The sequence below is a fragment of the Homo sapiens genome, chromosome 22, assembly GCF_000001405.40.
Source record: "Homo sapiens chromosome 22, GRCh38.p14 Primary Assembly".
Lineage (NCBI taxonomy): Eukaryota > Metazoa > Chordata > Mammalia > Primates > Hominidae > Homo > Homo sapiens.
Window position 1 is genome coordinate 49,199,795 of NC_000022.11, and position 14,027 is coordinate 49,213,821.

General features: G+C 51.8%; 1 annotated feature.

Annotated features, from left to right (window-relative positions):
* Window positions 8,976–9,176: a silencer, noted in NCBI's record as "peak4516 fragment used in MPRA reporter construct". NCBI's record gives its function as "represses an SCP1 promoter by STARR-seq MPRAs in K562 erythroleukemia cells {active_cell/tissue: K562}" and the evidence as "EXISTENCE:reporter gene assay evidence [ECO:0000049][PMID:32103011]".

The following is a 14,027-nucleotide window of genomic DNA, read 5'->3' on the forward strand; positions in this document are numbered from 1 at the left end:
CTCTTCCCCTTTGCCCTGGGAGTCGGGCAGAGGGAGCCCTGTGGGAATTCCATTTCCTGGAACCCATTTGATCATTTCTGTTTTTGGAAATAGCATACATGTATCGAACTTTTTTCCTAATTTATTAGAATATGCTGACAGTTGTATACAGCTTAAATGTATACATTTCACCCTCATCTATGTGATTATCATGTTTTATTTCGCTTTATGATTTGAGTTCCTAGGAAATTCAGATTTTTATTTTTTAAAGTACACAGCACAATCAATGTTTATAAATTCAGTTGTTCCCTAATTTATTAATTTCTTCTTTCATCCTTATTATTCCCTTCCTCCTGATTTATTCAGTATTTTCCATTATTTCCCTAAGTTTCTCAATTGACAGGATATTAATATACTGTTTTCTTTTCATCTTAAGGCTGTGAATGTACCTTAAAGTATACCTTTGGCCAATTATCACATTTTATATGTTGTTAGAATAAATATCCAGAAATGCTCTATTAGCCGTATACACACAATCATGACAGAAAAAATAGTACTTCCCTGACCAGTTATTTGAACTAATGTTACTGAAGTTTTTACCCTTCCCATGGAAAACAAACTTTGAGATTGTGTTACTAAACTCCTCATTAATTTTACTGTTAGATACATTGATCAATGTGTTTTGATAATTTCTTGACATTTTCTTTATGGCCTAGTATCACCTTTTGTGAGCTTCCCATCCATGTTTGACTAGTCATTTTCTTCAAATATATAGTATAAAACTCTATATTTAGATACATTTATCAACGTATGTTTTGATAATTTCTTGACATTTTCTTTATGGCCTAGTATCAACTTTTGTGAGCTTCCCATCAATGTTTGACAAGTCATTTTATTCAGATATATAGTATAAAACTCTATCTGTATGCGAATATTGATGTGTAGGTATTTACTTACGTGTTTGGTCCCATATATTATAGAATGATCCATGTAATGTGTTATCATCATTTACTTTCATTTTTATTGAGTCATCATTGCATGCCAAGAGTTTTTACTGTGATTTACATTTGTTTTTTCAAGTGTTTTTTACAGCTCTTCTGTGTGTTTAGATATTTTATGATGTGACATGGAAATGTTTCTTTTTTAAAACATAGATTCTGTCTTCTATCCATGAGAAATAATCATCGCTTTTCTTTTTACAGCTCTGCTTTCTCTATTTTGTCCTGTATTAATGTTGCCACACAACATATCACAAATAACCTTCAAAATACAGATAGCAAATGACATCATTGTACTTTCTACATTCTGGGACTGTCCTAAGTCCTTCGCCGATGGAGGTGCTTTCAAATGTTCCTCGGGGTTAAATGGCCACGGAGCATTCGGAGGCTGCGCGAGCCCGTCCATTCCTGCGACTCCCTACACATGCGGGTGACGGTCACACGCTGCCACTGCTAGCCCTCCCGCCCTGGGACCCTTCTGTGCCTGCCCCTTTCATGGGTGGCCACATCTCCCTGGGTCAGAAAACCTGCACATTCATATAACACTGCTGGGTTTTAACCTGCTGCCACCATGCCTGGCCTGCTCCAAATTTATTAGCCTTGCTAATACCAGAGGTTTCCTCTTTTTAATGTCCTAAGCCATGCACAGGTGTGTGTGAAAGAGAGCTGAGCATCTGCACGTGTGTGGCTGAAGCTGCATTATTGCTGGAAGCTGAAGATGCATAGGCATCTGAGGAGGCCTCATGGATGCCGCCACCCCCACCTCCCCCCTTGTGGGATTGAAAACGCTTTGTGCACCGTCTTTAGCTCCAATACGTTTTCCCACCTGTCCAAGTACTAGTGTCTGAGAGGCTGGATTCCCTGGGTGTACAGACCTGGCTCAGTCTCTGTAGGAGATGATCTCACCTGGGATTCTGCACAAGAAGAGGAAGCCCCACCACAGAGTGACCGTGAGCCCTGTGCAAGGAAGTCAACCACAGACATCCAAGCCTGCCCCAGCCACTCCAGCCCCACCACAGAGTGACCGTGAGCCCTGTGCAAGGAAGTCAACCATGGACATCCAACCCTGCCCCAGCCAGTCCAGGCCTGGGGAAGACTCCTGCTCCAGCTCCAGGTGCCTCCTGATTCGGCTGTCTCTACGTTGCTTCTGCACTCACTCAGGGTTTGGTCTGCTTCTCTTTCCCTTGTTCAGTGCTAATGAAGGACACACAGACAACTCTCAGCTCTCCGTCTATGTTTGCACCAAGTTTTTTTAAATTTTTTATTATTTTTATATATTTATTTTTGAGACAGGGTCTCACTCTGTCACCCAGGCTGGAGTGCAGTGGCAGGATCTCAGCTCGCTGCAGCCTTCACCTCCAGACCTCAAGCGATTCTCCCACTTCAGCCTCCCAATTAGCTGGGACTACAGTCACGCCACCACACCCTGCTTTTTTTTTTGTATTCTGGGGAGAGATGGGGTTTCACCATGTTTCCCAGGCTATTCTTGAACTCCTGGACTTGAGCAACCTGCCCGTCTCAGCCTTCCAAAGAGCTGGGGTTACCAGTGTGAGCCACCATGCCCGGCCTGCTCCAAGTTTTATCACTGAAGTATGAAATCCCCTTCTCACAGGATAGACCCTGTCAGCTGCAGGTCTCACCACCTCTGCTCAGGCCCAGCTGTGCATTCCGTGGACCCTGCGGAATGTCTTGCTGTAGAGCAACGTCTGTGCAGCCATGGAGCGGAGGGAGGGCCTTAAAGACACACCTAGGCTGGACGAGGTGGCTCACGCCTGTAATCCAAGCACTTTGGGAGGCCCAGGCAGGCAGATCACAAGGTCAGAAGATTGAGACCAGCCTGGCCAACATGGTGAAACCCCGTCTCTACTAAAAATACAAAAATTAGCTGGGCGTGGTGGCGCGTGCCAGTAATCGCAACTACTTGTGAGGCTGAGGCAGGAGAATATTTTGAACCAGGGAGCTGGAGGTTGCAGTGAGCCGAGATCACGCCACTGCACTCCAGCCTGGCGACAGAGCGAGACCCCGTCTGAAAAAAAAAAAAAATCCCAGCCTCAGCCTTAGGCAGAGAAAGAGATGGTGAAGGGCGCCTCTGGGCTGTGTGGTTAGAGAGCCTGCAGCTACCTCCACACTCCCTGTCCCCATCACCTGACAACAGTGCAGAGAAGGAAAAGCTGTTTCTCGCTGCCTTCCTGGATTTTGTTTTGTTTCCTATGTATCTACATCGTTTGTTCTTTACTAAATCTGCACGATCTCTATATTAATCACCTAAAGACTTAAGGAGAGACAAGCGTGGGATGCCCCACTCCCCAGGTCAGGGGCACCGTGCCACGTGGGAGCCGGTGGAGAGTGAGTCAAAAGCGCTTGGTGACTGCGCGGGGCAGGCCTCCACCTGAGCCCCGCCGTCCACACTGCCAGCCTGGAGCCTCCATCTCTCTGCGCCCTCAGGCACCGGGTGGGCTCCCAGCCTGAGGCCCTGAAGCTGCCTTTTCTATGGATGGCCCCTTTCTTGCTGGAGGCCTGGAACGCCATCGCGGCTGCGGGGGAGCTGTAGAACCGCGCCACGCGTTTCCATGCAACGAGGCTCCTCAAGATGCAGAGGAAGGAAGGGGGTTTCATCTAAGATGATAAATCGTCTGTGCTGCAGGTTCTACAAGGCTCGGTCGGTTGTCACTGCGATAAAATCTGATCAAACAGTGTCATCCAGCAGGGAAAGGAGCCGGCAGTTCCCAGGAGGCGGGACCCACTGGCGCTCTGCAGCCTGCTTCGGCCGCCAGGAAAATCGGCTCAGTTTAGACTCCAAAGGGGCGCCTCCTGGTTCGCCTTTTATTTACACCAGGCCATCCTCCTGCCGGCGCGGGGGCTGGAGAATCCCTTCCCTGCTCCAACCTGCCCTCTCTCTGCCTCCTTCATTTTTCCAGACCACTTTCATTTCACAAGAGCACAATTTGAATCATTATCAGCTTCCGACAGTTGCTTCAGCCTCTGCTATCTTCCCCGAACAAAAGCGACAATATTCAATTCAACCTGCGTGTGTGTCAAAGGGAAATGCAGCTGATTAAGCTCTGGAGGCCTCATCTCATAGGGATTAAACGCACAGGCCCACACTATGTCTCATTTTGGACACACCCAGCTCTGCGCAACGCCGGTTGGCTTCAGAAAGTTGACAGTGAGAAGCCTGAATTCTTTAGAGCACCACAATGATACTCAAAGGGCAGCTGCCCAGGGCAGATTGCATGATAAACCCAGAGTATTTGCGAATGGAAAACACACTTCCATGCAACGCTTCACGTCGTGGGGATTCTGTGGCTGCTTTTCCCTGCGGTCAGCCTCAGGGCTCCTGGCCTCCCTCCTGTGGGAGGTGAAGGCCACTCTGTGTGAGTCTGTCTTGGGCTGGACCTCAGGTGCAGCTGGGAATCTTATCAAGTCGTAAGTCAATCTCTCAACAAATATGTGCAATAGCAACGGTCCCCCCGGGCTTCCCAAGCACCCGGAGTCGGGGCTAATGGGAGGAAAGACAGAGAAATGCTCATTGTGTTCAAGGGGCATCTGCCGCGAAGTGAGCCCTGCCCGGGAATCGGATGGAGGCTGCTCTCAGCTCCTCGGCCCCAGTGCCGGGTGACCTTGGCCCACCTGCTTCCCTTCACCGGGACTCAATTTCCTCAGCCGTTCAATGAAGGGGTTGGGCTGGGTGACCCCGGAGGCTCCTTCCCTCTCTACTTTATGATCACGATTGTGCGGTATTGACCGTGGCGGGGCAGGTCGTTTCAGCTCCGCGTGCAGCGCGGCTCTGTGCATTGATCTCAGCACCACTTCTCCAGTTATCCAAAGCTGACGTCCCAATGTGACTTTCGCTGGGCATAAAACAAGCAGCGCGATATTGTTTTCAGTAATTTTAACTTCATAATTATGTTTACGGTGGTGCAATAGCATTACCAGGATTTGAAAGGGCTTCGGGGTGTGAAGGAGCCGCCCGCAGCCCCTGCCAGTGCCCGTTTTCCCTGCGACCCACTCCCATCCTGGCCTTCGTGATCCACGCGTGTCAGGACACTCAGGGTGTTTCACCGTCCTGCGCTTTCCCAGATGCTTTTCTCTCTCCCACATCTCTCTCCAGTCTGTCCAGCTCACTGGATTTCTCAATCGCTGCCCTAATCCAGGTCGCCTCTATGGGCCCCCAGGTGACCCCAGCGGCCTCCTATCTGGGCACCCTCCTCCCCTTCTGCACTGCCCTGTGGCTGGGACACTCAGGCGGGCCTCAGCTGGGCAGCAGGGTCCACACTGACCCCTGAAGGCAGTGGAGTAATGGGGGGCTCTGGCAGGGGCTGGCAGCATCATGTCTGCTCTGCAGAGATATCACCCAGCTCTGGTGGTGAGGTCTGGAGGTTCATCTGGGACTAACGCTTTGCCAGGCCAGCATGTGAAAGGGGAGGAAGATGGCATGGAGGGCATTTGCTGGGATCCAGAGCAGAGAAAGGAGGAGAGGGAAGCAGAGAAACCAAAGGAGCTGGCAGGGGGTGGTACTAGGGGTACAGGGAAGGACCAAGACAAGGCCCATAATTCCAGAGGGACCCAGGGAACCAAGGTGGGGATAAGGCTGTTTCTGACATTGGCAGGTCCTGTCATTGTCCCTTGAGAACTGAGGCAGGATAGAGGGAGGGTCGCTGGGTAGGAGGCATGGAGGAGCCAGGAGGTCAGGGTGCACGTGGCTCATCCTCTATGCTGGGAGGGCAGGGTGCATGAGGTCCATCCTCCATGCTGGGAGGGTAGGGTGGACGTGGCCTGACCTCCATACTGAGAGGGCAGAGTGCACGTGGCCTGACCTTCATGCTGGGAAGGCAGGGTAGAGGCAGTCCAACCTCCATGCTGGGAGGGCAAGGTGCATGTGGTCCAACCTCCATGCTGGGAGGTCAGAGTGCACCTGATACGACCTCCATGCTGGGAGGGCAGAGTGCACGTGATCCATCCTCCATGATGGGAGGGCAGGGTGCACATGATCCATCCTCCAGGCTGGGAGGAAGGGGTGGACGTGGCTCATTCTCCAGGCTGGTGGGGCCACTCTGATAATGACAAAGCAGGCAGTAGGGACTCCTGCAACCCAGTGTGAGGTTGTGGGTGAGGGTTGGAATTGCCCCCACATTCATGTATTGAGATCTAAACCCCCAGCTCCTCAGAATGTGACTGTATGTGGAGGCTGGGTCTTTAAAGAGGTAATTAAGTTAAACTGAGGTCATTTGGGTGAGTCCTAACACAATATGACTAGTGTCCTCATAAGAAGGGGAGATGAGGGCACAGAACAGGCACAGAGGGACATCTGTGTGAGGACACAAGGAGGGGAAAACGTCTACAAGCCAAGGAGAGGCCTTGGGAGGAACGAGCCCCACCCACACCTTAATCTTGGACTTCCAGCCTCCAGGATAGTGAGAGGATAAATCTGTGTTGTTTAAGCCAACCATTGGTCATGGCACCCTCCAGACGCTGATCCATCCTCCCGATGCTGATCCGTGAAACCTCAAAGGTTCTGTCTCATTTACCTTTGAGTCCCCCACCTCCTGCCAGACACTTGCTCTGTACATAGACAGTGCTGACTTACATCTGTTACTCAGTGTGACGTCAGCTGTCCCTCAGCAGCCATGAAGATATCCTTCAAGTTCAACAAGAACTTGTCATCCCCCAGTGAAAGCGTGCAATGCCTCCTCCACCTACTAACACAGCAGCGCACAGAGCTGCCTCCCGCTGCCTCCAGCCACCCTCCCTCTGCCTGCCTCGCTCTCGCTAAGTGTCTGTGAGGTGTGAAGTGTGCTGCGTGCGCTACCAGGACTGCATCCCTTCATGGGCTCCCCCGTGCTAACCCACACCCTCCGTGGACATGCCTATCTCTACGTGGAAATCTCCAACTCGCTACTGGACTCATGGTTCAGTAATCACTGTCCTAAAGGAAAAACACACCTGCCACCATCTCAAAGTTAGCATGGGAGCGTCTTATGAAAAACAGACAACCCCTTCTAAATGTTTTCCATAGTGAGGGTGCTGCTGTGTATTCGTGAAAACCTGAATGCTTTTTCACCTCCTTCGCCTCCCTGTCTTCTCTCCAGAAGGAATTTATCAGGAGCCATAAAAGAATTCCCAAGGACAGACACCGAAAATGGGTCAGCCGTGGTGACAAATCACTGAAGGTGTTCCCAGCATTGTCCTGGCTGTTTGGAAATGGCCTCAGGATGCTCCATTATTTAGGTAGGAGGGGGCCCAGAAGAGCCCTTGAATGGCTATTTTCTTACAGGGAAACCAGGGGGCCTGGAGAGGGGGCAGGTGTCACGCCCTCCCAGGAAGACTTTGCTCAACTCTCCTTCAGGTGCAGGAGGTGTGGATGCCCACACTCCATGGACTCCCATGTGTAAGGTCACAGGCGGGACTATGGCTGCAGGGCCCCCTGCTCATCACCCAGATGTCTCCAAACCAGTTCTCTGTGGCTCCTCAGATGGGGCCTTGGAGTCCAGCTTTGTCCAGAGGCCCAGCAAGCCCGACCCTCAGCCCTGCAAGGCACCAGGAGTCCTGGAAAGCCACTCATCCCCAAATCATGGCAGCCACAGCCATGAGAGCCGTGGGTTTCCCTGGTCTTGAAGAGACAATGCCCCTCCAGGTAGGTGATCCTTTCTTCCCGAGAGAGTGAGAGGGAGGGGGAAGGAACCAGAAGAGGTTAAATCCACAGGCTCTGGCTCACAAGCCACAGTCAGAGGAGGAGCCCATGGATTTCACGACATCCGGCTCCCCGGGCCTCATGTCCACCACCACCGACACTGAATGGCAGATGGCGTCCATGGAAGCTCAGCCACAGGACCCAACTGGCGACAGCTGGACTCTGGTGTGAGGGTCTCCCATCCTCTTCTCTGGGGGCTTCTCCCTTTGAGTTGTATCTTGGGGTCCTGCCTAACTCAGGGTGCCTGCGTTCTTTGCAGAGCAGCTCTTTGGGGTTTAATCAGCTTGTGCTGGTGTGGGGAAGCCGCGTTATGATCTGATAAATGTATCATGTGTGGCATTGCACTTGTTGGTTATGAAAAATCAGCTGTTGCCTGGTAACCAAAATTGTCAGCTCCCAAACCTCGAAGGCCACGGAGCCAGGCCTGATGGCTTCTAAGGAGCCATAGCCAAGGCTGAGGAACAAAACCTGATGAGCCTGGGACATGGGGGCCAGAGACACCCTCAGTTCTCATTCAAAGTTTTCCCACAAAGAAAACAAATCAGGGAACCTCAGGGCTGTGGTTTGTAGCTGCATCCAGCTTTCAGAGAGAAGTGGGGAGGAAGCTCTTCCAGGCTCCTTGTGGTCCCAGCAGCCACACAGGGACAGGTATCATGTGTGGGAGTAGCAGCTGCCATTCGTGCCGGGTCTTGGGGGGACCCTGAGCTCATTCCCAGTGTCTGGGCAGCCCACCCCCCACAGGCAGTGCCCACATTGTGCCTGGGCTCAGGAGTGGCCCTAGATGGCCCTAGACATCACAGTCCAGTGAGCTTGGCAGGGGGGCATCTGCTTCCAAGACTTTCTCTGGGTGCCTCTCCCCCAGTGGCCTGGCCCCTCTGTGGGGTCCATCAGCCACCCCAAAGGCCACAGACCTCAACTCAGGCATGATAATTGAGGGAGGAATGTAAAAATTCCCCTGGGAACGAGAGCCAGACCATGACCCTAGGCTGCATTCTCTGTCCCTTTCCCCTCCCAGGCACCTCATCATTGAGGCCTAGACCTGTCTCCGTGTCCCAGCCTCAGGGTCCTCCTCCCCTTCTCCACATATACCCCACCCCTCATGGACAGATCACAGCGAGCTGGAATCACACGTGTACCACCTCCCTCGCTTTTGCCCAGCAAGTGTGGAACACTGGGTTTTACTGTGTTGCCTTTATAGTAAATAGCTCATGTAAAAAGACTTATGGCCTAAAATTATGTTAATAAACTCATGTGTGAAATCATCTGTCGAGAGAGGAAACGTCACTGGCCTCTTGGGATTGTGAGAATTGAACTAAAGGCTGTGGAGGCTTGTTGTGAAAAGGAATAGAAACCTGAGTCTTCTCTGCCCCAGGCTCGGTGCCTTTGAACCCTCAGGGGTGGCAGGAGCTGTCCCAGGTGCTGAAGATGTCAGGGAAGCAAGGGAGCGGCGGGGTAGGGAACCCCCGCTGCAGAGCCGCGAAGCATTTGTTGGGCAGGGTGACCTCCTTCGTTAACTCGGTAGGCTGCCCCAGATTCATATTCTGCTCACCCGTGCATCAGGCATTCATTTTTTCACTCATTCATTCATTCACATGCCGGGTCTTGGCCATCAGTGTCACCTTCTTACTACACTCCATGCCTTGCTTGACCTCACCTCCACCAGGCTGGCAGAGGGGGCGGCACACACACCTGCCGCACTCACTGTTGGCCCTCTCTGGAGCCGTTTGCAGGGGCTTTCTCCGTGTCTTTCCAGTAGACACAGCATGGACCCTGTAGCCAGACGTGTGAGTTCATCTGGGCTCCACCACTTCCAGCTGTGAGACCCTGGGACAGTCACGTAGACCTTGGAGACCTCGTAAGATGGTTATGATAATTAAGTTGATTCATAGACTCAACCCCTTGGAAACGGCGCTCTCCATATAAGTGTGATGTGCTGCCTGCCCTTATTCTTACCAGGTCCCTGACGGCCTTGTGACAGGGCCCTGGGCTCATTTGCCGTTTAACCCCCACACCTATGGACACTGTGCACACCCCTGCCACCACATGAGGCCTTCTGCACCTCTGCACCCCAGCCTCTCATCCTGAGGCTTAGTTTGTGATTCTGTAATGACATATTCTCCACCTACCTCCGCCCGCTAAAGTGCAAATCCCACCAGGCCTGGGCCTTGGTCATTGTCTCCCCAGGGAGCTCCAGGCCCCAGGACAGTGACCCATGCACAGCAGACACTCCCTCCATGGCTGCGGAATGGCTGTGTGGCTTCTGCAGAGATGTCTCCCACTTCAGGCTGACCTGCCTGGAGAAAGACAAGCCGCTTCTCTTCCATTATGCTTTAATTTCTAGAAGTTTCCTTGTTTGGGGGCAGGATTGCTACTTCCTTAGAATAATTTCCTTTCCTATTTTCAGCTTATAAACTTTGGAAGCAAACAAGCTCTCCTCCTGTAGAACGCACCCCGACAGGAAAGCTGCCCACGCTGTGCTGCGCTGTCATTAATGAATTACCAGGATGGTGCAATGCTGTAAGCGCTCATCTGCTCCAAGCCGTTCCCAGGGAGCGCAGCTTTTCTGGGCTGGATGCCAGGACAGCCGGGCAGCCCCTGGAGGGGTGGGGGAGGGGAGCTACAGCCCAGGGGCCCTGCTTCAGTGTCGGGAATGTGTGTGCTTCCTCCTGCTCAATCGCTTTCATCCCAAATCTTTTGTATTTCCCATTGATCCATGTCTAGAATGGACAGAGCAGCAGGAACATTCAAGCCACTTCCCTGTAGGACGATTAGATCTTGACAATTGGATGCCATAAATTATATATATATATATATATTGAGATGGAGCCTTGCTCTGTCGCCCAGGCTGGAGTGCAGTGGCGCAATCTCGGCTCACTGCAACCTCCATCTCCCAGGTTCAGGGGATTCTGCTGCCTCAGCCTCCCGAGTAGCTGGGATTACAGGTGTCTGCCACCACGCTCAACTAATTTTTTTGTATTTTTAGTAGAGATGGGGTTTCACCGTGTTGGCCATGATGGTCTCGATCTCCTGACCTCGTGGCCCACCCACCTCGGCCTCCCAAAGTGCTGGGATTGCAGGCGTGAGCCACCATGCCCGGCCATAATTTTTAATGCAGTAGAATACTGTCTACATTTTCTTAGCACTTAGACAACTCATGGTTTCCAAGAGGACTCACGAGGATGAACATCCGCATCTCTGGGACCATTACTCTCACTCTGAACTGATGTTGGCAGAAGGGGAGTTCCTGCTTCTCTGGGGGACTGTGACCTCACAAGGGTGCCTGGTCTTGGTCATCATCATTAGATTCCTCAAACAGAGCCTGGGGCGAGGTTGGCCCAGCGTTGAACATGGCCCAGTGAAGATCAGGCGTGAAGTAGACGCAGGGGCCTGGCTTGGCCTTACAGCTGTGTCAGTCAATACTTGAGCTTCATTTTTAGTTTAACATGGACCTTGAGAGGAAATCATAATGTATCTCAACAAACACATGGAAAGAAGAACTTTTTACAATTTTTAAATGAAGTGAGACAAAAGCACCATGTGTGGTTCTCTAACACGGTGTCAGGGTGTTCCCTTTTCATAACAGTGGCCTTTAATAATCAGAGACTCACAACATTCAGCCCATGGCGGGCAACACTGTGGGCTTCACTCGTGTTAACTCAGGCAGCCCTGACAAAAACTCTAAGAAACAGGTACAAGTATGACCACAGCTTATAGTTGAGGAAACCAAGGTATGGAGAGGTTGGGTGACTTGTCCCAGGCAAAGAGCCAGCAAGAGGCAGAGGTGGGATTTGAACCCCAACCATCCAGCCCCAGAATGGACGTTCTTAGCCCCTCTGAGGCCATGCTGAATGTCCAGAAGCCAAGCGGGTCTGGAGGCCAAAAGTCACTCACATGCCTGTCTAACTGCGAGTTAGACTCCATTCTGAAGCATCAGAGCTGCGGGCTACAGACGGGAGGCAGATATTCCAAGGCCTGGCACTTCCAGCTCCCAGGGCAGGTCAGGGCCATGAGAGAGGTTGGCTCTGCTCATCAGAGCCTGGAGGGGGCTGGCAGCCAGTCTGGATGGAGAGAGTGGCCTCACTGAGGGTTCACTGACAATTTTGGGACACTATCAAGTGGGCAGAAGGCTGATTTTAGGCTGTCCTTGACTCTCACCATGAAAAATAGTAACAGTGCTTGGATCCTGTTGGTGCAGGGTTATGGGTAGAAACTGTGCTAAACATCAATCTCTGGGGGAAAATGTAACTTTCAGATGAATATTAAGGGTGAGACCAAAAGAGATCCGGGCTCCATCTGGCCAGGACAGGGGGGTGTCAGTGAGTATTGTGGGGGTGCTTGGGGTGGCAAAAGGCTGGAGAAAGTCACCTCCGCCTGTGTACACCGAAGGCTGTCTGGCATCACCAAGGAGATCCTGTGATCAGAATTTATGTTCCTGCTTTTTCTGACAACCATCCCTTGATATCCTTCACTGAAGCATCTTCTCCTGCACCCAAAATGTGTCACCGTTTCTCATTTCTCCATGACCCCTGGGTCCCTCATGGTTGTATTGTCACCCACACAACAGCACATAGGATCCTGTATCCATCTGCAGAGACTCCCTCAGCAGGCCCCACGGGTCTCATTCATCCACAATTGGTAACTGGCCTCCTTGACTCTGTGGCCAAAGATGTAGGTCTTGGATTCCTTGACCCACCACTTGTTCGTTGTGAAAGCTGGGGCCGGTGGAGGGGCCTCACTGACTATAGAAGGCAATGATGTTACTGCCCAGCTCACAGGATGAGTGTGAGGACTGACCAGTATCCATCAGGAGCTTTGGAAACAGCACCTGCCATGCAGCTGATGCTGGTGCTTCCATTCTGTGGATGGAGCCGTGTGGGTGCCCCAATAAGGCTGAGATTTTGCCCATCACCCTTGTACATTATTTGCGTGTTTTGCTCCTCTCCTGGGGAGGTCAATTACAAAATGTCCTATGGTTTTTTAAGTCACAAAGCATCATCTCAATCAGTTGTTGAAACAAGCAGTCCTCCTCTCCCCTACAGCTGCCACAGCTCTGGACTCCATTCACGTTTGCGGTTTTCCATCCCACATTGCAGGTTTGGGGCTGTGGGCAGGACTGCAGTTGGGCCGGGCGAGAAGTTGTCACCTTCCCTCCTTCCTGGCTCAGTGCCTGGTCCTCCCAGCCAGGACAGACACCCTCCAGGACTCCCGATGGTGGGGAAGGGGTGGCGGGGACAGACGAGGCAGCGGGAGGCATCCTGCTGGGCTGGCACCATGGCGGCCGGGACACACTGCCCCTTGGGGTGCAGCCGCTGTCTTAAGTTGACTCTTCCCATGGCTGGGATCTCCCCCTTGTCATTCCCTCATATGCCCTAAGGTAGAGGGGTGTGTTTTTTGTTTTTGATTTTTTTTTTTGAGACGGAGTCTCACTCTGTCGCCCAGGTTGGACTGTAGTGGTGTGATCTTGGCTCTTTGCAACCTCCACCTGCTGAGTTCAAGCGATTCACTATTCTCCTGCCTCAGCCTCCCAAGTAGCTGGGATTACAGGCACCTGCCACCATCCCCTGCTAATTTTTGTATTTTTAGTAGAGGCAGAGCTTCACCATGGTGGCCAGTCTGGCCTCAAACTCCTGACCTCAGGTGATCTGCCCTACTCGACCTCCCAAATTGCTGGGATTACGAGCGTGAGCCACCATGCCCAGCCATCCTAAGGTTTCTCTATTTGGGATGGCTGCGTTCAACACTTCCCTCCAGCTTCTGGAAGCCCATCTCTTTCAGAACATCCTCTTGCCCCACCTGGGTGAATCTAGAGCAACCCCAAGCACTCTTGGGGGTGCCTGTATCTAGTTCAGGGGTAATCCTCACACATATTGAACTACCTCAATCAGACTTTCACCCTGAGATCTCTCAGAGATGGCTCAGATGCAATTCCCATCGCCCCCAGATTATCCAGGGCTCTGTATTAACCCTTGTGGAGGGTATTATCAAAGCCTCTCTTCTTTGCCAAGAGGTAAAGGGGATTTGTCCTGTAGCCTTTCTTCAGGCAGAACTTACGACACCCTCAGATCTCTCGATCATCACCTTTGACGGTGTCCCTGAGTCCACTGTACTTAGTCTCAGGAGGTGTCACATCCCCACCTCTCCCCTAGATGGGACTCACCGCGCAGATCTCCAGAGAAATCTTCTACAAAAACCCTCATGGGTCATCTGCTCCAGCCCCTCTCACTGCTCTCAGGGTTGGGAGATAGAACCATGTGGTAGGTGGAATTGACAGCACAGCTCTCTCCAAAGAAATGGAACGCGCCTTACAGTTACACCCTCCACTGAGGAATGACAAAACGCTCTAAACATCTTGTTTTGTT